Genomic DNA, 21,496 nt, shown 5'->3' with positions numbered 1-21,496 from the left:
CCCTGTGTGTGGCCAGGACAACTTTTCTGGCCGGATCAGGCTCTGGGCTCTTTTTTGGGCTGTTCAGTGGCAGCCTCCACCTTCCATGTGTTCAGATGTTCCCACAGATGTTCTGGCCCCTCCAGGGACAGCCTCTGTGGGTGGGGAGAGTCCCTGCCCCCAGGAGCTCAGGTTAGAAAGACCTTCTGCCCAGGGGACAGGTGCTGGGGGCCCTGGAGCCTGGAGGAGGAAAGTGCCACGGAGGAGAGGTGCTAGACCTGCCCCGTGGCCCCACCGATGAGGAAGGGGGATCAGATGCTATTCCTCATGGCAACCTTTGGGGAGGGGCTCTGTTCCCTTTACATGCTCTGTGACCTGTGTGCTTTTTTGTTGACTGACAGAGTTGATGATAAAGCCTGGTTTTAAGTGAGTTTGAGAGGTGGGGGCTGCCAAGCTAGGTGGCCCCTTCTCAGGCTTCCCGCTGCCACAGGCTTTAATTGGGATGTATCACCGTGAGAACTGCCCTGTGAGAAGGATCTGGAGGGGGATGCTCCCAGCATAGTGAAGGCCTTAAACACTCAGGTTCTTCTCCTTGCTGCTGGGGTCTTTGAAGGAACTGAGAGGGTGTGGACACTGTCCAGGTCCCTCAGCATCATCTGATTCGGGCTCACTTCTGTCCACTCCGCTCCAGGGCCCTGCCTCTGGCTCATCTCGTATCCCACTGGCTCCTTTGTGACCCTTCTTCCCTCTTCCACGCCTCCCCCTCTTCCTCCCTCCTCCTATCTCCCCTTCCTCCCCCAGCCTCCTCCATGTGGGTCCCACGCCCAGTCCTTGGCCTCTTCCTGTCCACCCCCCGACATGGCGGCCTCATCCTGCTCCATGTCTGTGCTGAGCACCCCCAGGGGAGGCTCTCAGCTTCTCCTCCCCGCAGATCCAGGTGTGCTCCCCGGTGTTCCTCCCAGCTCCCTGAGGGCATCTCACAGGGCCCACCTTACGCCCAGCACAGCTGGACATTGAACAACATGGTTTGAACTGCACAGGTCCATTTATACATGCATTGTTTCAACCTAACTTGGATCTAAAATACAGTATTCTCAGGACACAAAACCCACATATATGGAGGGCTGTGCAAGTTCCGCTGGTCCAGCCGTGGGACTTGAGTATGTGCAGATATGATATACGCTGGGGGTCCTGGAACCTGTCCCCTGCGTGTACTGAGGGATAATTGTATTTCATGTCTTTTTATGACATTATAAGTGGTATTGCTATTACATGTCAATTTTTAAAAATAAGCCAGAACCATAAACGAAGTGTTTCCCTGAGTTCTGCGAGCCACTCTACAAATTAATCCAACCCCAGAAGGGGGCCATGGGAGCCCCAGTTTACAGCCAGCTGGACAGAAGCACAGACCATGCCTGGACTTGGGATCAGCATCTGAAGGGGCGCCGTCTTGTGGGACTGAGCCCTCACCCTGTGGGGTCTCACTCTCTCGCCCAGGCTGGAGTGCAGTCATACGATCTCGGCTCACTGCAACCTCCACCTCCCAGGTTCAAGCGATTCTCCTGCCTTAGCCTCCTGAGTAGCTGGGATTACAGGCATGCGCCACCATGCCCTGCTAATTTTTGTATTTTTAGTAGAGACGGGGTTTCACCATGTTGGCCAGGCTGGTCTCAAACTCCTGAACTCAAGTGATCCACCTGCCCTGGCCTCCCAAAGTTCTGGGATTACGGGCATGAGTCACCGTGCCTGGCCCTAAATGTCAATTTTTGATTGTTTGGTGCTCCTATATGGAAATACTATTGACTTTTGTATATAGATCTTGTATCCTAATACCTTTCTGTGGGAATCTAGGTAATGGTTTTTCCTACTTTCTACTCTCTACTCTCACACAGTCACTCAACACTCCATGACCAGATGAGTAGGGTATTCCCCACACACCGAGTCATTCCCCAGCAGGTTCTGCAGGGGACAGCAGTGGGGGTCCTCTATTCAACCTCATCTTGACACTGTCCACCCGGAGTGACCTCAGAACCCACAGGGTGAGGGCTCAGTCCCACAAGACGGCCCCCCATTCAGATGCCAATCCCAAGTCCAGGTGTGGTCTGTGCTTCTGTCCAGCTGGCTATAAATCGGGGCTCCCATGACCCCCTTCTGGGTTGGATAAATTTGTAGAGTGGCTCACAGAACTCAGGGAAACACTTCGTTTATGGTTCTGGCTTATGAATAAAGAATGTAGTAACAGGTACAGATGAACAGCCTGATGAAGAGGTGCACAGGCTAAGGTCGGGAAGGGTCCCAAGGGCAGGAGCTTCTGTCCCGTGGAGTTGGGGTGTGCCCTTCTCCTGGCAGGCGGATGTGTTCGCCAGCCCAAAGGAAGCTTTCTGAACCAGTCCTTTTGGGTGTTTTTGGAAGCTTCATTATAGAGCCATGATTGATTATATATCATTGGCTGTTGGTGAGAACACTTCCCAATTCTTCAGTGCCTCTCCCCTCCCCGGAGGTTGGGGGTGGGGGCTGAAAGTCCCAACCCTCTAACATGCGTTGATCTTCCCAGGGACCAGCCCCCCATCCTGAAGCTGTCTAGGGCCCCCCAGCCACCAGTGAACTCCTATCACTCTGGAGAGTCCAAGGCTTTTTAGGAGCTGTATGTCAGGAAATGGGAAGATGACCAAACGTATATTTTACAATATCATACTTTCTTTCTTTCTTTTTTTTTTTTTGAGACGGAGTCTCGCTCTGTCGCCCAGGCTGGAGTGCAGTGGCGCGATCTCGGCTCAGTCCAAGTTCCGCCTCCCAGGTTCACACCATTCTCCTGCCTCAGCCTCCCGAGTAGCTGGGACTACAGGCGCCCGCCACCTCGCCCGGCTAATTTTTTGTATTTTTAGTAGAGATGGGGTTTCACCATGTTAGCCAGGATGGTCTCGATCTCCTGACCTCGTGATCCACCTGCCTCGGCCTCCCAAAGTGCTGGGATTACAGGCGTGAGCCACTGCGCCCGGCCTACAATATCATACTTTCTAAATACACTTATTATTTCTGGCAGCTTTTTGTAGATTCTGTTAAATTTTTTGCCAATAAAGATAATCTTCACTTCTTCCTTTTCTCTCTGGATGCCGAGTGTGTGTGTGTGTGTGTGTGTGTGTGTGTGTCTGTGTGTCACCCTATTGAACTAGCTAGAATTCCAGTACAAAGTTGAATAGAAGTGGTGAGAGCAGACATCTTTTGTTAATGATGGAACTCTGAATGCTTTCTCCCCAAAGATAAGCGTGATGTTAGCTGTAGGATTTTCGTAGCTACCCTTTGTCAGGCCAAGGCAGTTGCCACCTACTCATAGCTTGCTGAGAGTTCTTATTAGGAATAGATGTTAGATTTTTTTTTTCAGATGCTTTTTTTGTGTGTCAACGGAGATTATCATGTTATTTTTATTATGGTAAATTACATTGATGGTTTTTTTTACTCGATAAATACTGACTTTTTATTAGTATCCACTCCATCACTCAACAGCAATAGCAGCATGCAGATGCCATGAGGGCAGGGCTGTGTGTACACACAACACTCACCAGTACATCCCAGTGCCTAGTACACAGTAGGCACTCAGTTATATCATTGAAACAGGGAACGCTTGGCTGATTCATTTACATTTTAATTTATTTTATTTTTTTTATTATTATACTTTAAGTTTTAGGGTACATGTGCACAATGTGCAGGTTAGTTACATATGTATACATGTCCCATGCTGGTGCGCTGCACCCACTAACTCATCATCTAGCATTAGGTATATCTCCCAATTCTATCCCTCCCCCCTCCCCCCACCCCACAACAGTCCCCAGAGTGTGATGTTCCCCTTCCTGTGTCCATATGTTCTCATTGTTCAATTCCCACCTATGAGTGAGAATATGCGGTGTTTGCATATTTTCTTTTTGAATAGTGTGACTTACTCTTTTTGGCATATGATAGCTATGGTATCACATAAACAATTGTAAACTGTGTCGAGCTGCCAAAAGTTTGAATCTCATGCCAGTATATACATTCAGCCTTCTCACCATAGCTATTTGAGAGTTATAATTATCTATAGCACTGAAAGAGACTTTGGGCTCATCTGGTCCGATTCTCTTATTTCATGAATTAGAACACTAAATCCACTCAGACTGGGTGACTCGTCTGTCAGAACATGCAATAAACAGAAAACAAGGGGTTGTTTGCCTGATGCCATAGCATCCAAAGGTCAGGGTAGCTGGAACTCTTGGTGTCTTCTTGTCTTACAAAATGATGGAAGACGCATCATTTTAGTTCTCTGGTAGAAAGAGGATCAGAGAACCAGCTGGGAATCACAAATATGCTACAAAGATAAAAGACAGAATTTGGCCCTAAATAAAAATAGATTCTTAAAAATAGAGAAGAGATCAGATATGTTGCTAAGAAAATGCAGATGTTAGACCATATCCATGGTTCACAGTCCTTGTGAAAGCTTAAAAAATATAGATGCCAGGACCCAATCCCAGAGATTCTGCCTTATTTGGTCCAGGAAGAGCATAAGCATACATTGATTGATTTTTGAATGTTAAAAAAAATTACTCCTGCATTCCTGGGATAAATCCCACTCGTTCATGGTACATTATCCTTTTACGCATTATTGAATTCAGTTTCCTAAAATTTTGTTAGGAATTTTTGGATCAATATTCATTAGGGATATGGGCCCACAGTCTTTGTCTGATTTTGGTGTCAAGACAGTGTCATAGATGAGTTGTGAAGGATTCTGTCCTCTTCAGTTTTATGGAAGAGTTTGTGTAGTGTTAGTTCTTCTTAAATGTTTGGTAGAATTCACTATTAATCTATCTGGAACTGGAGTTTTCTTTGTAGGAAGATTTTTAACTACAAATTTAATTTCTTGAATAAATATAGGGTTTTCACATTATTTCAGAAATTTCTTCTTGAGAGAGATTTGGTAGTTTATGCCTTTTAAGAAATTTCATCTAAGTTGTTGAATTTATTGGCATAAGTTGTTTGTAATATTTCCTTATAATCCTTTTAATATATGTAGGATCCACCGCGATGTCACCTCTCTCGTTCCTGTTATTAAGTTGTATCTTCTGTTTTCATTCTGAACTGTGTTGATAGAGTTTTATCAATTTTACTGATATTCTCAAAGGAACTATTTTAGCTTCATTGATTTTCTCTATTGCTTTAATCTTTTCTCTTTCATTAAATTTCTGCTCTGATTGTTGCTATTCCTTTCTTCTGTTTGCTTTGGGTTTCATTTACTCTTCTCTCTCTAGTTTCTTTTTTTATTTTTATGTAGTAGACTTAAAAACAGAACCTTTATAGTTTCTTAATGTGGCAACTGAGGTTAGAGAATGAATGCCTTTCTTCTTTTCTAATTTAGGTATTTAGTGGTTTAAATTTCTCTGTAATTGCTGCTTTAGTGGCATTCCATAAATTTTGATATGTTGTATTTTTACTTTCATTTCATTCACAATACTTTTGATTTCCTCTTTGATTTCATGTTTGATTCGTGAGTATTTAAAAGTGTGTTATTTAGTTTTCAAATATTTATGGATTTTTCTAGAGATCTTTCTCTTAATGATTTCTAATTTAATTCCATTGTGGTCAGAGGATATACTTTGTGTGACTTGGATTATTTTTACACGTATTGAGGCTTGTTTCATGGCCCAGAATTTGGTCTTTCTTGGTATATGTTCCATATACAATCGGGAATCATGTGCATCTGGCTGTGGTTGGGTGGAATGTTCTGTAAATGTCAACCATATCAGGTTGTTTTAGCAGCATTGCTAAGATTTACTATATCCTTGCTGATTTTCTGTTTACTTTCTATGTCTTATCAGTGGAGAAAGGTACTGAAGTTTCTGACCATAATTGTGGATTTGTTTATGTCGTCTTACTTCATGCCGCTTGAAGGTCTATTGTTAGGTTGATAAATGTTAACAATTGTTATGTGCTCCTAATAAATTGAACCCTTTATTATTATAAAATGACTTTTTTTGGTCCTTGGCAGTACTCTTTGCTCTGAAACCTACTTCAGTATTCATGTAGCCACTCCAGCTTTCTTTTGATTGGTGTGAACATGATACAACCTTTAAAAAAATCCTTTTACTTTTAGCTTATTTGTGTCTTTATGTGTAAAGTGGGTATCTTGTAGGCAGCATATAGTTGGGTCTCATTTTATTATGCAATCTGAAAATCTGTCTTTTATTTGGGGTTTTTAGATCATTTTTGTTTAATATGTCTTTGATATAGTTAGATTTAAGTATCATTTTGCTATTTGTTTTCTGTTTGTCCCATCTTTTCTTTATTCCCATTCCTCTTTTTTTCCTTCTTTTTTATTAATTGGCTTCAGTAATTTCCTCTCTTAATTTTTATGTATTCTATTTATTTTTTATGCTTCTGCTTTGTCTCCTTTGTTGGCTCATTAGCCAGAAATCTTTGTTTTGTTATTTTAGTGGTTGCTTTAGGGTTTATAATAATTGTCTTTAATTACAGATACCTTCAAATGACATTGTACAATTTCACATAGAGTATAAAGACCTTCCAATAATTCACTTCCATTTCTCCTACTGGACCTTGTGCTATTGTTGCCATACATTTTACTTTTGTATGTTACAGACTCACACTATGTTGTTAGGGTATTTTTTTCATTTAAACGGTCAATTTTTTAAATTAAAAATTTAGAAAATTAAATAGTAAAAAAGGATCTTGTATATTTACCATGTAGTCACCATTTCCAGTGGTCTCTTTTCCCTTGTATAGATCTCTATTTCCATCTGGTGTCATTTTCTTTTTGCTTGAAAGAATTTCTTTCTTTCTTTCTTTCTTTTTTTTTTTTTGAGATGGAGTCTCGCTCAGTCACCCAGGCTGGAGTGCAGTGGCGCGATCTCGGCTCACTGCTAGCTCTGCCTCCCGGGTTCACAGCATTCTCCTGCCTCAGCCCCCCACGTAGCTGGGACTATAGGCGCCCACCACCACGCCCGGCTAATTTTTTGTATTTTTTTTTTTTTTTTTTTAGTAGAGACGGGGTTTCACCGTATTAGCCAGGATGGTCTCGATCTCCTGACCTTGTGATCCACCCGCCCTGGCCTCCCAAAGTGCTGGGATTACAGGCGTGAGCCACCGCCCCTGGCCAAGAATTTCTTTAGCATTTCTTATAGTGCAAATCTACTGGTCATGAATTCTTTCAGCATTTGTTTGAATGAAAAATTATTCTACCTTTGATTTTGAAAGATATTTTTGCTGGGTACAGAATTCTAGGTTGATATTTTTTCCCCCTTAATACTTTAAAGATGTTGTTTCATTCTCTTCTCACTTGTATTATTTCGGATGAAAAATCTAATGCCATTTTTGTCTTTGTTCCTTGTATGTAACACATCTTTTTTCTCGTGCTACTTTAAAGATTTTCTCTTTTTATTGGTTTTGACCAATTTGATTATGCTGTAATTTGGTATAGTTTTTAAAAACGTGTCTTCTGCTTGGGGTTCATTTACTTGGTTCTATGAGTTTATATTTATTAAATTTGGAAAAATTTTGGCCATTATTCCTCCAAATATTTTTTTCTATCTCATTCCTCCTCGTTTTGGGACTTGAATTACATCCATATTTGATCTTTGAAGTTGTCCAGCAGTTCATTGATGATCTATTATTATTTCTGAATTGTTGGGATAGTTTCAGTTGCTGTCTTCAAGTTTACTCTTCTTTTTTTCTGAAATATTGAATCTGAGGTTAATCTCATGCAGTATATTTTTTCATCTCAGACACTGTAATTTTCATCTCTAAATCAGTTAGGGACTTTTAGTTTCTTCGTTGTCTCTAGTTAACTTTTTGAACACATGGGAATCAGTTATAACAACCGTCTTAATGTCCCTGATCATCTTTGTCAAGTCTGGCTTGATTTTGATTGATTGCTTTTCCTTTTAGTCATGGGTCATATTTTCTTCATTCTTTGCAAGCTTGGTAATTTTTTTTTCTTTTTTTTGAGATGGAGTCTCACTCTGTTGCCCAGTCTGGAGTGCAGTGGTGTGATCTCAGCTCACTGCAAGCTCTGTCTCCTGGGTTCATGCCATTCTCCTGCCTCAGCCTCCCAAGTAGCTGGGACTACAGGTGCCCGGCTATTTTTTTTGTATTTTTAGTAGAGACGGGGTTTCACTGTGTTAGCCAGGATGGTCTCAATCTCCTGACCTCGTGATCTACCCACCTCGGCTTCCCCAAGTGCTGGGATTACAGGCGTGAGCCACCGCGCCTGGCCGTTTTGTTTTGTTTTTGTTTTTTGTTTTTGAGACAGAGTTTTTTTTGCTCATATTGCCCAGGCTGGAGTGCAATGGCATGATCTCAGCTCACCGCAATCTCCACCTCCCAGGTTCAAGCGATTCTCCTGCCTCAGCCTCCTGAGTAGTTGGGATTATAGGCATTCGCCACCACACCCGGCTAATTGTGTATTTTTAGTAGAGACGGGGTTTCTCCATGTTGGCCTGGCTGGTCTCGAACTCCCGACCTCAGGTGATCCACCCACCTTGGCCTCACAAAGTGCTGGGATTACAGGCGTGAGCCACTGCACCCAGCCAAACTTGGTAATTTTTTAATTGGGTACCTGACATAGTGAATTTCACCCTGCTGGGGGCTATTTTTGTATTACTGTAAATATTTTTGGTTGTTCCGTGATGTAGTTTAGTTACTTAGAAACAGTTTATTCCTTTGGGTCTTATTTTTAAGGTGTTAGGCAGGACCAGAGCTGTGTTTAGTCTAGAGTTAACTGCTGTTCACATGGAGGCAGAACACTTTTGGGTACTCTACTCAATACTTTGTGAATTGTGAGTGCTCCTGCTACTCTAGCCTCCTGGAGAGCTCCTGTCACTGCTCCCTCAAATCATTCAGGTGCGTCTTTCCTGAACTTAGGTCATCTCCCCACAGGCATGTGTTGATCAGTTCTCGGCTGAACCCTTGAAACCTTCCCCAGATCTCCAGAGTTCTCTCTGTCCAGCTCTCTCTTCTCTGCCTCCTGCTCTCTGAATCCTAACTGCCTTGGTTCCATCCGAGTTCCCTCTCCTGTTCCATGACTTGAAACTTTCCTCAAGGCAGTGAGCTGGGGTAGTCATGGGGCTCACCTTGTTTGTTTCCTGTCTCTTGGGGATCACTGTCCTTTGTGGCCTGATGTCCAGTGTCATGGAAATCACTGTTGTTCTTGGGAGTGGGGTAAACTGGGTTCCTATTACTCCATCTTGGCTGGCGTTAGAAGTCCTAGCAAGTGTTTCTTGCAGCATACTGTGTGTGAGGCACTGTTCTAGGCACTGGAGACTCATCGTGAATAACAGAAGACCCTTCCCTCAGGCAGCTATGTTCTAGCAGACCAGGAAGGCTGGGCAATGAATCCAAGCACGGCCATGAAAGGCTCCTCAGCCTTGGGCAAGCTGTGCCACCTGGGCTGAGCACTAAAAGCTCCTCAGCCTTGGGCAAGCTGTGCCACCTGGGCTGAGCACTACAGCCTTAGACAAGCTGTGCCACCTGGCTGAGCCTCAGATCCTGGACTCTTCTTCATCACAGCTGGGGCTTACTGTGCACCGCCTGTTGCTGTGATTGCCATTGTTTGCTCATTTGTTTGTTGAATCATGAGCAAGGGACCTTCCTACCCAGAAAACCTTTTAAAAAGAAGTGACAGTAGTCCCACTTATTGGTTGAATTTTATTTTTATTTTTTGTATTATAAAGGCTTAACATTTTTCTTACAGTGCAGAATTTCCTTCAGAGTTTAGTGCATGATTTCTTGCCTGAGAAGGGTCATGCTTCCCCACTCATAGTGAGTTTTCGTATCTCTTCCTAAGAAAAATGAAAGTCAAGCCTCAGGAGGGATGGTCGAGATTAAAAATTGCCAAGGTGAGAGTGTCAATTAGTGTGCTCTTTCTGGAAAGCCATTTGGCAGTATCTCATTAGAGCCTGGAAACGCAGTTTGCACTTTTGACATTGTAATTCCATTTCTAGCAATCAGTGGGTCCTAAGGAAGTAATCCACACTCGGAGCATCGTGCACCACAGTAGTGAGGGCAGCATTGCGTGGAGGTGGAGGATTAGGCACATCGTCAGTGTCCAGCAGAAGACAAAGGAGTGAGTTAACAGGACGGTCCATATGCTGGAATTGCATGTCACTATCCATCAAAAATTGTATATGTGACAGATGTAATAACATGTTGCAGCAGCTACAACAGCAGAAGGCAGTATTACGTACATGGATCGTCTCAACGTTGGCTGAAAACAGGCCCTCGGAAGATGAGAATTAGAAGGAACTGTGTCCCACCTGCGGTCATATTTCCCCAAGGACATTTTCCCCACTTCTCTCCTTTCCCATTGGTTCCAGTTTTCCTAGGATGAACGTGTATTGATTTCATATTTAACAAATTAAAGCAAAAGTTAAACTTCCAGTGTTTTTGTAACCTACAGAATGAATAGTCAATGTTTAAAGAATAGGACAAATTTACAGAAAAGGATGGAATGCAATTTAAGATGTAAAAAAATGGGCTTCTTCTCCCTCATATACACAAAGTGTTCAAAACACTCTGTTATACTTTATATTTTGAACATAAGGAAATAAAGTAAAATAATTTTAAAGAGTCTTTAAAGTAGAAGCTGCTTCCAGGGATGCTGGCTCACTCTGGTAATCCCAGCCGCTCGGGAGGCTGAGGCTGGAGGATGGCTGGAGCCCTGGAGTTTGAGGCTGTCGTAAGCTATGATTGCGCCACTTCACTCCAGCCTGAGTGACAAAGCCAGACCCTGCCTCTAAAAATAAACAAAAAGCCAGAAGTTGCTGTGTATTGAGGCTTACAGAAGGGGACCTGGCTGATCAGAGAGGCGAAGTGACCTGTCCCTCGTTGAACAGCCATGAGGGATGGAGTCAGGGTCTCCATGTTGTGAAAGCAGCACCCCCTTCCAGTGCAGACTGACTTATGCGTTGCTGTAATTGATCTGCTGGTTCCAGAGGAGGTGGGAGGGGACGCCACCCTGGATGGAGGAGCAGGCCCCAGCTGTGCCTGGCCTTGACGTAACTGCACTCTTCTGACCCTAAGACGTGGTCTGTGTCCCTGACTCTACAGAGGAATGCACTGAGCTTCAGGGAAGACGAGGGCTTTGCAGGTCCCCAGCCGACTGAGAGTCCGTCTGAGCCCATGGCTCCTGCGGTTGCTGCTCTTTATTGCCCTGGCTGGAGTGCGATGGCACCATCTCGGCTCACTGCAACCTCTGCCTCCCTGGTTCAAGTGATTCTCCTGCCTCAGCCTCCCTAATAGCTGGGATTACAGGTGTGCGCTACCACGCCCGGCTAATTTTTGTATTTTTAGTAGAGATGGGGTTTCGCCATGTTGGCCAGGCTGGTCTCAAACTCCTAACCTCAGGTAAACCACCCGCCTCGGCCTCCCAAAGTGCTGGCATTATAGGCATGAGCCACCGTGCCTAGCCTCCTCTATCACTTTAATAATCCTAAAAAACAGTCACATGCACCGTGCGTGTTTTCCAGCAGTACATGGCGGCCGCCAGCTGGACACAGCGATTGGCGCACTTTCTCCTGTCTTCTGTTTCAGGACAATGTGTTGAACATCATTAACCAGATCATGGATGAGTGCATCCCCCAGGACCGCGCCCCCAGAGATTTCTGCGTCAAGTTCCCTGAGGAGATCCGGCACGACAACCTGGCCGGCCAGCTGTGGTTCGGTGCCGAGGTAGCGGGTGGCCACCCGGGTTCGGAGGTCCTGATGTGGGGTGGCGTCTAGCCAAGTCCCTGCGAACCTTGTGCATGGGCGCCTGCAGGTGCCGGGACCTGGTGTCTCCTCCAAGAGCTCCGTCCACTCTGGGTTACGTGGTGTGGTCTGAGCCTGGTAGGCCGTGCACCCCTGGAGGATCTGGGAAAGCCATGAACTGGTGCCCCCAAAACTATACATACAAATGAAATTTCCCATGTGGTTTTTATGAGGTTCACAGGCCCCCAGACAGCCAGGACCTAAAAGTGGTTTTTAATGGCAGTAATGCCCACATCAGGAACAAGTGTTCCCCTCCGGCCCTGCAGCATGGGCAGCAGCAGGGGCTGGGGAGCCGTGCTGCAGCCCCACGCAGGCCACATGTGGCAATAGCCTGTCATCTTCATCTTCATCTCCCAATCAGGAAACTGAGGCACCGAGAGGAAGGTGCCCTTCAAGGTGGCGGGAACAGTCTCCCCCAGGCCCCCACCATGCGGACTCCCCAGCCTCCTCCCCTTGCCGTGCTCCCGAGCCTGACCTCAGCCCCGACACCGCCACCCTCTCTATTGTGCCGTCCCCATCCTGCCCGCCTCCCCTTTCTAGGAATCCCTGGGGTGCGGAGTCTTCATCCCACGCTGCCCCGTCCCTGTGTCCACCCTGCCCACCCCACCTTCTGAGCCACCTGGTTGGGGTGTCCTCTGCCGAGGCTTGGGTTAGTTACAGGGGCCCGCGGGCAGGTTCTCCCTCCTCCCCAGCCTCAGTTTCCACCTCCGTGGAGTGGGTCCTGGGGCAGTCATGAGATGGAGCGTGTTCTGTGCCCGGCTGGCCTGGCAGGGGCATGCATGCACAGGGGTGGGCACAGCTCCTTGTGTGGTCCTGGTGCCCCAAGCTCTGTGCCCACCTGCAGCTTGGGCCTGGGCGATCAGCGCCGTCTCATTCTGTCACCTGGGAAATGGCTTCTTGTCCTGCATCACTTGATCATCCCTGAGGGGACAGCAGGTGGATTGGTTCTATCCTAAACCTGGCGAGGCCCCGGCCTCTAGACAAGCCTCCCTGTGACAACAGGTCTACCAGGGCCTGGACTCAGCCCCTGTGCCAGAGGGCAGCTTGGTGAAATTCCCAGTTGCTGAGCGCACGCTGGGGAGCTGCCTCGCAGCACCCAGGGCAGACATGGGTGGATTTGTGGGTGCGGAGGAGCCCTCCTTACCTGCCCAGGAGCCCAGGGACTCTCACACTGATGAGTCTGCGTTCCGGGGAAGGTTGCGTTTCTCTGGCAGTGAGCAACTTGACAGGTGGTGTCTGTGGCTCCCTAGATAGGCTGGGGACCTCGGGCCCGGATCAGCCCGGCTGCTTCATCCCTGGGAGCACAGACCTGATTGTGGAGCCTGGAAGCTCCAAGCTCCTTGAACTTCATCCCTGTGGCCTGGACGGGGAGCGGAAAAGAGTCACATGACCAGGGTTCCTCCTGCAGGGAGCCCCCAGACCCAAGGGCCTCAGTCCACCTTCCCCTCCCCTCCCCTCCCCTGCCCTCCCCTCCCCTGCCCTTACCTGCCCTGCCATGCCCTGCCCTCCCTGCTCCTGGGGCCCTGTGAGGACCCCGTGGGTCACATTGGGGGACATCGGTTATCGCCCTCACGATTGCTCTGAATGTAAGAAAAACCTCCTGCGGGGACCGGGAACACGAGCTGGCCTGTGCTGTGGGGTGAGAAGAGGGGCCCCGAGGTGCGCAGTCAGGTTCCCCGGGTCGGCGACCCCTGAGAGCCTGGCCCTCACCCGGGCCCCTCCCTGAGTGTGTCCCCTCCCGCAGTGCCTGGCCGCCGGCTCCATCATCATGAACCGGGAGCTGGAGAGCATGGCCATGCGCCCGCTGGCCAAGGAGCTGACGCGCAGCCTGGAGGACGTGCGGGGCGCCCTCCGTGACCAGGCGCTGCGGGACCTGAACACCTACACAGAGAAGATGAGGGAAGCGCTGAGGCACTTCGACGTCCTGTTCGCAGAGTTTGAGCTCAGGTACTGCAGCTGTGGGTCCACAGCCCTGGCTGTATGAGCTGGGGGACGGTTGTGCCAGCTTCCGGGGCTCACCCTGATACTTCAAGCTGGAAAATTCCACAGAGGGAGGAGCCAGGCAGGTTCAGGGCCGCCTGTGGGTGGGGTTAAGCCCTGGAGAGCATAGCGTGGAGGTGAGGTGGGGCATCTTTCCAGGGAGTGGGGTGAGCACAGAGGACACAGGTGTGGATCTGGCCGCCGTGGGCCTCCAGGGGAAGGGCTTTGGAGAGGCCCGAGGGGCCAGACATGCATGATGCCTCGGAAGATGAAGAGACGTCACAGGTGAGAAGAAAACAGAGGCAGCCAGGCGGGTGCGGTGGCTCACGCCTGTAATCCCAGCACGTTGAGAGGCCGAGGCAGGCGGATCATGAGGTCAGAAGATCGAGACCATCCTGGCTAACACGGTGACACCCCATCTCTACTAAAAAAAATACAAAAAATTAGCCGGGCCTGGTGGCGCGCCACTCAGGAAGCTGAGGCAAGAGAACCGCTTGAACCCGGGAGGCAGAGGCTACAGTGAGCTGCGATCCAGCCACTGCATTCCAGCCTGGGCGAGAGAGCGAGACTGCATCTCAAAACAACAACAACCACAACAAACAAAACACGGAGGCAGATGGTGTCCGCAGAGGTTCAGTTAATAAGTTTTTCATCTTGTAATCTACTGGCCCCTAGGAGATCAACCAATGCATTAAGGGCAGTCCTCTGCAGGAAGCAAGAGCACGGACAGTCGAGTTTTATTTTCTTGTCTTCCCCAAATTTTCTAAATCAGCTTCCATAAGAAAAAATTAGAGTTAGTGATTTATTTATTTATTTATTTATTTTCTGAGACGGAGTCTCACTCTGTTGCCCAGGCTGGAGTGCAGTGGCACGATCTCAGCTCACCGCGACCTCCACCTCCTGAGTTCAAGCCATTCTCCTGCCTCGGCCTCCCAAGTAGCTGGGATTACAGGTGACCACCACCACGCCTGGCTCATTTTTTTGTGTTTTCAGTAGATACAGGGTTTTACCATGTTGGCCAGCCTGGTCTCAAATGCCTGACCTCAAGTGATCTGCTGCTGGCCTTGGCCTCCCAAAGTGCTGGGATTACAGGCGTGAGCTACTGCACCTGGCCTAGAGTTGGTGGTTTAGAAGGAAAGAAAGTGCTCTCATCTGGGGAAGGGTTGGACAAGCCTTCACGTCTCAGAGCCACTGGCAGGCCTCCTGCAAGCCGCTGTGCCCAGCCTGGGCTGGCTTCCGTGGCTGTGGAGGTCCACGTGCGGAGGTTCATGTGGGGCTGCGGGTTGTTCACCCACCCGTGCACGTGTTCATTCGTTTCTCTCTCGCCCCTTAAGGCTGGTGCCAAGGTGGGGGATGGTCCCGCACATGGGCAGCACTGGGTCCAGGGTGGTCAGGCTCCAGGGTGAGCCCTGGGAGCTGGCACAACTGTCCCGCATGGGCAGGGCTGGGGTTTCAAGGGAAGGCCTGGGGTAGGCCTGGCTGGCAGGAGCTGTGTACTATGAAACTGCCGAAATGGGATGGTGGTGTAGGGTGTGTGTGTGTATTTTAAGAGAAAAGGTCTTGCTTTGTCACCCAGCCTGGAATGCAGTGGCACCATCACCATTCACTGCAGCCTCCAACTCCTGGGCACAAGTGATCCTCCCACCTCAGCCTCCCAAGTAGCAGAGACTGTAGGTGCCTGCCACCACCACACCCGACTTTTTTATTTTTTGTAGAGATGAGGTCTTGCTGTGGTGCCTCGAACTCCTGGGCTCAAGCCATCCTCCCACCTCAGACTCCCAACGTGCTGGGATTACAGGCGTGAGGCCCCCCGCCCCCACCTTGCCCAGCATTGCAGCTTTAATTGAAGATGCCCCCCACTCTGTTTTGGAGGGGCCCCGCCACAGCCCAGGTGCGGCCTCACAGGTCTCCATGTGTTTGCAGCTACGTCTCGGCCATGGTGCCTGTGAAGTCCCCCAGGGAGTACTACGTGCAGCAGGAGGTCATCGTGCTCTTCTGCGAGACGGTGGAGAGGTGAGCACAGGGATGCTTAGGGGCTGGGGGCAGCATCTGGGGAGTCCCTGCCTCACTCCAGGCCCGGGGCAGAGGGCAGCTCTGGGGGAACCTGCTGTGTCTCGGGAGTGCCCCAGATGGAAGGCACCAGACGTGTCTTCCCACACTACATCCGGCTTCTCCTCACAGGTGGGCAGAGGGTAGAGGCCACCCCTGCCTTTACCTCTGCCCGGCCCCCTTCCACCGCCCCACGGTCGCTTTTCTGTCTGCCAGAAGGTCAGATCCTGCAGGTGAAGTCACTGTCAGAGGACAAAAGCTGGAAGGCTCTGGCATGATGGATTGGACGTCCAAACCTTGTCACCTTCCTCACCCCCTCACTCCTCACCTACTCACTCCTCATGTCCTCACTCCTCACCTCCTCACTTCCCCACCTCCTAACTCCTCACCTCCTCACTCCTCACCACCTAACTCCTCACCCCCTCACTCCTCACCTCCTCACTCACCTCCTCACTTCCCCACCTCCTAACTCCTCACCTCACCTCCTCACTCTTCACCTCCTCCCTCCTCACCTTCTCACTCCTCACCTCCTCACTCCTCACCTCCTCAATCCACACCTCCTCACCTCCTCATCTCCTCACTCCTCACCTCCTCACCTCCTCACTCCTCACCTCATCATTCCTCACCTCCTTACTCCTCACCTCCTTACTCCTTAGCTCCTTATTTCTCACATTCTCACTCCTCACCTCCTCAATCCTCACATCCTCACTCCTCAATCCTCACTCCCCACCTCCCCAGTCCAGGAATGAGTTTTTGCTGAGTTTTAAGTCTGTTGAACAAGTGTTTCTTTTTTAGGGAGTGGGGGGGGCAGGGGGAAGCCATCAATATTCTTATCAGGCTTTGTACAGTAATTTGGAGTCTGGTTTTCTCAATGGACTTTGGGGTTAAGATGTAACCTTGATGTTTCTCTTGTTCAAGTGGTACTATGGTGTTTGGAAGATTTGAAATTGACTATTATCACATTGTATGTTTGTTATTTTTAAAAAGCAAATTTTTACTCTTTGTGCTTTGAGAGATATTTCAAATTATCAGAAAATAAGATGACGGGAAATTCCTTTTATTTTGAAAAGTCACGATGCCAGCAGGCCTGCTCACGAGGTGCAGGAAAAGCCCTCCACAAGCCCCGGGGAGGAGAAAGGAAGCTGGTTTCTCAGGGAAGTGTTGAATTGTTTGGGGCAGTATTTTTGTTCCGTGTTCATTCTTGACACCGGAGTTGTTTCGGTCTCCTGGCTGAGCAGAGCCGTCCTCTGGGTTGCCTTACTGTCTTTGCTGGGCATCATAGCTGTCCTCACACATCCTCCCTGCCCCTGCCTCCTGGGGCAGAGGTGGGGACTGGCAGATGGGAAGGTCAAGCTGGAGCCACCTGCCAGGGCATTTAGGGAAGTGTGTGGCCTTTTCCTGCAGTCCCAGCCCCTTGCACATATGAGGACTGGGGGTGGCATGTGTCACCTCTTGACGTGGCCACCACGCGTGGCTGCAGGTACAGATTGAGCGCACTGCCTGTCCCTGCTGGGGTCCAACCTGTGGCTGTGGTGGGCCAGCCCTCATGCTGCTCACTGTCCGTCTCCCCGGACAGGGCCCTGGACTTCGGGTACCTGACTCAGGACATGATTGATGACTACGAGCCGGCCCTCATGTTCAGCATCCCCAGGCTGGCCATCGTGTGGTGAGTGCCTCCTGTGCCCAGGACCTCTGCAGAAACCTGCGGGACGGGCAGGGCTGATGGTGCCAGGTCCCGTGCGGGTGCCGGTCCATGGCGTCTCCACCTCACGGTGGCCGCTCAGCTGTCCCGATCAGTGACAGGCAGGCCTGCTGTCAGCCCTCAGCAGACCAGGGGACCACGTGTCCTGAGTGCCCCCTGTTCACCTTGCTGGTGAGGGAGGCTCTGTCACCCTAGATAGGGCAAGGTGGCCTAACACCTGCCACCTGCCACTGGACAGGTGAGATCCACAGGTGAGCTCATTAGTCACAGGAGACCATGAGGGTCACACAGGGGTCATGCTCGGAACAGAGTGGCCACGCAGGGGCTGTGGGAGGCAGACTTGGTGGTAACAAGAGGACGAGCTGCCCCCCGGGTCCCTCAGGAGGCTGTGATTGGCTTGTTTGAATAATTTGGGGGCTGGCAGGGAGGTGAAGCACATTGGGTTGAAGGGCAGGTGGGGGCAGTTGGTCTGGCTGATGGAATACCTGTGTGGAACCTTTCCTGCCAGCGGGGCCGTCTGGGAGAGCAGGGAACTCAAGGCAGCCTGTAGGGTCCTGTGGGGCTCAAGGACGTGAACACAGCACATGGAAGCTCAGGCCTGAAATCCACCGAGGCAGGATGCGCGGGGTCACCTGCTTAGCGTCTCTGAGCTGTCTGGGGCCAAGGTTAGAGCCCAGGGGTCAGGCTGCTCATCCACACCCTGACTCCAGACGGGGATTCCCCATGCCCCTGCCAGGCGGATGGTCACGGGGGCGGAGGAGTGAGTGGACCACAGAGAGCTTAGTGGAGCTTGCAGCTGGGGGGGAGGCGGAAGTGGGGAGGGGGAAGAGGGGAGGGGGAAGAGGGGAGGGGGAAGAGGGGAGGGGGAAGAGGGGAGGGGGAAGAGGGGAGGCGGAAGTGGGGAGGGGGAAGGGGAGGGGGAAGGGGGAGGGTCCAGTGGGCAGCGGCCAGCAGGTGTGGGACTGGGCAGAGTAGGGGATGGGGAGCCCTTGAGAGAGATGCCCGTGGAGATGTGGATGTCAGTGAAGTGGTCGGGGAGTGGGGGGTGGGCACAGAGGCCACGACTGGTCCAGGCTCAGGCTGGAGAGACCTCACTGAGGCCATGCTGAGGAGCCCCAGGGGACCCCGGGGCACAGGCACACGTGGCAGTGCACTGGGGTTGAGCATGGATACCCCTCCCGTGGGAAATGGGGGTGCAGAGGTGGGAGCACGCGGGGCGGTGGCAGTGCAGTGGGCTAGGGCCAGCGGCGGGGCCTGCAGGGGACAGAAGTGCTTAACCCCAGGATGCGCCGAACACCCCTTGTTGGAGTGGGGAGCAATGGGGGCTGCTGCCGGGGCCAGTCTGGACACCCCTGGGCCAGGCCGCTCACTCCCCTAGGTCCTGGTGCCACCTCCTCCGGGAGGGCTCCAGCGTGGTCTCTATCTGCTGGGCCCTGGCTCCCCAGAGTCCCCTCCAATAGCTCAGGGCCTGGCCTGTTTCCTGCGCCGTCCTTCCCGTGTCCTCGCAGAGGTTGCGTCTTTCACAAAGTTAGCAAACCAGAGAGAGTGAGCCTCACATCGCGCCAGAGGGAGGCTCGGAAATCCTCCTGCCGTTAGACTCAGGGAACTTCCTTTCACCTGAAGACCTCAGGGCTGGAGGGCAGGGTGTCCCCAGTGGCCAGCGACAAGGTGGCTTGGAGGGAAGTGTCCTGGCGGGGAGAGGCCACCCCAGAGCACAGAGCGCCCCTTCCCATGGGCCACAGGATTTGGTGACATTGTTTTTCTTTTCTAGACAAGTGTCTCTCTGTGGCCAAACTCACTTGAAGAAAATGACAGGCAGTTTTGGTCCTTATTCTTCTCTTTGTTTAAAAAACAGAACAGCAAAGATCCTGCGAGCCGGCCTTGTTTCCACCAGGGCGCAGGGCGCTGTGAGCCTTTGCCTCAGGTACAGGTGTCTCCTTGTCCCAAGGGCACTCACAGCAAATGAACAGCTCTGCTGTCCTTGTAAAAAGTTCTCCGCGAGTGCTTTGAGGTGTGGCACCAAGCCACCCGCCCACTCATGCCCGTGTCAATGAGCCGGTGAGCCCTGGCTGGACTTCCTCTTAAAGGTCGGGCCTGGAGTGTGCAGGTGACCCCAGGTGACCCTCCCCGCAGGCCGCACCCCAGGCATACTGTGTTTCGGGACTTTCACACTGAGTCTGCTGCCCGTGTTTGCCCGAGTACAGGCGACCGCAGAACAGCAGCCACTTCCCCCAACCAGTATCATCTGTGTCCTGCTTGCCGACCTCAGTCCACCTGCTGGTGGCCAAACCTCTGCTCCTCCTTCTGTCCTAGGCTTTCATCCTGGGAGGCAAGGGGAGGCGGGGGCTGGGGGATCAGGGTAGGGGAGGCCAGAGGAGGGAGGTGGGGGGGCAGCTTGGGGAGGGAGGTGGGGGAGTGTGGGGGGTCAGGGAAGGGCAGCAGGGGGGGTCAGGGAAGGGCAGCAGGGGAGGCCAGTGCTGCGGGGGAGGCCAAGGGAGGGAGGTTGGGGAGGGAGGCTGGAGCTTCTGTTGGCAGAGGCTTTGTCCCGCGGGTCCCCTCCTGGAGGCACTGGCGTGGGGTCCCCTCGGGCTCAGGACAGTGGGAGAGCCTGGAAAGGGAGTGAGGGACCCCCAGGAGGTGAAGGGGGCTTGGATTGAAGGAGGGAGGAAGGGCGAGAGGGCATAAGAGCCCAAAGCCAGAGTCCAGGGAGCAGGCCTGTCCAGGGGGGTGGCCAGCTGTGAGCCCCCACAGAGGCAGGCATCTAGCCACAGAGCCAGGCTGTGGATACGAGGAACCGTGGGGTGCACCAGGCTGCCACTGCAACCCTCTGTGCAGCGAGCCTCGAGCAGGGCGGGTGAGTGCTGAGCGGGTGAGTGCTGAGTGGGCAGCTGTTCCTAAGGCCGCCCCTCTGGGATGCTCACTGGGGCCCTGCAGCCCTGCACCACCAGCGGATCCCGTCTTGTTCCTCGTCATCCACAGCGACCGCTTTGAGCCGGACAGGCAGAGGCCACAGCTGCCCGTGGTGGGGCCCAGAACCTGCTCCTTCCTGTGTTCATTCAGTGAGCAAGTATTGAGTGCCTACTGCATACCTCGCCCTGTGCTTGTACCAGGGAGATGGACAGATGGGCTGACCCACAGTGCTGTGGAATGTTCTGGATGCTGGAAGGGGGACTCAGTGCAGGGACCCCATGGGGTGGACAGGAGCTGAAGGCGTGAGGGAGAGGCTCCCCAGGGCAGCCGGCCCAGAGGTGGGAGCTGTGCAGGTGGCAGGCAGGGGCACGTTGGTGCAGGTGGTGTATGCTCAGGGGCAAGTCCAGGGCTCGAGCAAGGACCAGGGGGCCGCAGGAACTTCTGCAGAAATGAAGACCCCTCTAGCCTGCATTCCTGGGCCCACACCCTCGCAGGATCCTGCCTCTGTGAAGTGGGCATCCTGGGACCCCCCAGGTGACCCCCAGGGAACACTGAGAGCAGAGGGGAGGCAGGGGTGCTGAGCGGGGCAGGAGCTGAGGGTGGAGCTCCTCTGTGGCTCCTGCCCGTGACTGTGCTGCTGCCCGAGAGCCCCAGTCCCTTCTCCAGCACACAGTGTCAGAACAGTGATGCCACATTTACCAAGCATGAGCTGCGGGCCAGGCTCCCGTCCCCTTCTGAGGGGCTCCCAGTGGCGAAGGCACCGCTGGGGGTCAACAGCTGGAGGCGGCAGAACCAAGCCCACCCGAGGGTCAGAGCCTGCTATTCACCTGTGACACAAGAAAGCAGAAAACTCTAGTTCTGTGGCTGGCAGAGGAGGCCTGCCTGGGGCAGAGGCAGTGGTAAACTGAGGCCTTCAGATTGGCAGGGGGAGGTGGAAGGGAGTGCTGGGTGGCACCCTTCCCCCTGTTTAGGGTGTCCCCAGCCTGGTGGGGTCTGGCCTTACCAGGCAGTGAGGACAAAAACTGGGGGTCACCCCTGTGGGGACTTGCTCTGAGCCGTAGGGGAGGGGCCCCACTTGCCCTGCACCCCTCA

The 21,496-nt window shown here is 51.5% G+C and overlaps 1 protein-coding gene and 2 long non-coding RNA genes across 8 annotated transcripts in view, besides 8 other annotated features; 2 read left to right on the top strand and 1 right to left on the bottom strand.

Moving 5' to 3' along the window:
• The window catches only part of ZFYVE28 (zinc finger FYVE-type containing 28), a 149,049-nt gene that overhangs the window by 65,483 nt on the left and 62,070 nt on the right, over nt 1-21,496 (top strand). For 4 of the 6 annotated variants that reach the window (NM_020972.3, NM_001172659.2, NM_001172660.3 and 1 more), the window contains exons 3-6: nt 11,548-11,685; nt 13,508-13,710; nt 15,667-15,756; nt 17,369-17,458. In NM_020972.3, the coding sequence (NP_066023.2) occupies nt 11,548-11,685; nt 13,508-13,710; nt 15,667-15,756; nt 17,369-17,458 (521 nt within the window). The remainder of the gene's footprint in view (nt 1-11,547; nt 11,686-13,507; nt 13,711-15,666; nt 15,757-17,368; nt 17,459-21,496) is intronic. The other 2 variants (NM_001172656.2, NM_001172658.3) reach the window with 1 other exon arrangement.
• On the top strand, nt 1,660-10,395 carry LOC105374352 (uncharacterized). The gene is made up of 2 exons (XR_925056.3): nt 1,660-9,854; nt 9,960-10,395. It is a non-coding gene; the product is annotated as an uncharacterized LOC105374352 (long non-coding RNA).
• On the bottom strand, nt 9,653-13,395 carry LOC124900649 (uncharacterized). Its single transcript, XR_007057991.1, has 2 exons — nt 13,249-13,395; nt 9,653-13,123 (listed from the first exon to the last, which is right to left on the bottom strand). It is a non-coding gene; the product is annotated as an uncharacterized LOC124900649 (long non-coding RNA).
• Nucleotides 13,061-13,750: an enhancer, noted in NCBI's record as "H3K27ac-H3K4me1 hESC enhancer chr4:2341140-2341829 (GRCh37/hg19 assembly coordinates)". NCBI's record gives its function as "activates a minimal SCP1, AML or CMV promoter by ChIP-STARR-seq in naive H9 embryonic stem cells {active_cell/tissue: H9 hESC(naive)}" and the evidence as "EXISTENCE:reporter gene assay evidence [ECO:0000049][PMID:30033119]".
• Nucleotides 18,244-19,041: an enhancer, noted in NCBI's record as "H3K27ac-H3K4me1 hESC enhancer chr4:2335849-2336646 (GRCh37/hg19 assembly coordinates)". NCBI's record gives its function as "activates a minimal SCP1, AML or CMV promoter by ChIP-STARR-seq in primed H9 embryonic stem cells {active_cell/tissue: H9 hESC(primed)}" and the evidence as "EXISTENCE:reporter gene assay evidence [ECO:0000049][PMID:30033119]".
• Nucleotides 19,042-19,839: an enhancer, noted in NCBI's record as "H3K27ac-H3K4me1 hESC enhancer chr4:2335051-2335848 (GRCh37/hg19 assembly coordinates)". NCBI's record gives its function as "activates a minimal SCP1, AML or CMV promoter by ChIP-STARR-seq in primed H9 embryonic stem cells {active_cell/tissue: H9 hESC(primed)}" and the evidence as "EXISTENCE:reporter gene assay evidence [ECO:0000049][PMID:30033119]".
• Nucleotides 19,042-19,849: a biological region, named in NCBI's record as "H3K27ac-H3K4me1 hESC enhancer GRCh37_chr4:2335051-2335848".
• Nucleotides 19,460-19,519: an enhancer, noted in NCBI's record as "active region_21168". NCBI's record gives its function as "activates an Ori minimal core promoter by ATAC-STARR-seq in GM12878 lymphoblastoid cells {active_cell/tissue: GM12878}" and the evidence as "EXISTENCE:reporter gene assay evidence [ECO:0000049][PMID:35858748]".
• Nucleotides 19,770-19,849: an enhancer, noted in NCBI's record as "active region_21167". NCBI's record gives its function as "activates an Ori minimal core promoter by ATAC-STARR-seq in GM12878 lymphoblastoid cells {active_cell/tissue: GM12878}" and the evidence as "EXISTENCE:reporter gene assay evidence [ECO:0000049][PMID:35858748]".
• Nucleotides 19,840-20,637: an enhancer, noted in NCBI's record as "H3K4me1 hESC enhancer chr4:2334253-2335050 (GRCh37/hg19 assembly coordinates)". NCBI's record gives its function as "activates a minimal SCP1, AML or CMV promoter by ChIP-STARR-seq in naive H9 embryonic stem cells {active_cell/tissue: H9 hESC(naive)}" and the evidence as "EXISTENCE:reporter gene assay evidence [ECO:0000049][PMID:30033119]".
• Nucleotides 20,638-21,435: an enhancer, noted in NCBI's record as "H3K4me1 hESC enhancer chr4:2333455-2334252 (GRCh37/hg19 assembly coordinates)". NCBI's record gives its function as "activates a minimal SCP1, AML or CMV promoter by ChIP-STARR-seq in naive H9 embryonic stem cells {active_cell/tissue: H9 hESC(naive)}" and the evidence as "EXISTENCE:reporter gene assay evidence [ECO:0000049][PMID:30033119]".

This window comes from Homo sapiens, chromosome 4 (assembly GCF_000001405.40).
Source record: "Homo sapiens chromosome 4, GRCh38.p14 Primary Assembly".
NCBI lineage: Eukaryota > Metazoa > Chordata > Mammalia > Primates > Hominidae > Homo > Homo sapiens.
The sequence above is the reverse complement of the archived record's forward strand: the minus strand, read 5'-3'. Positions and strand labels throughout refer to the sequence as shown.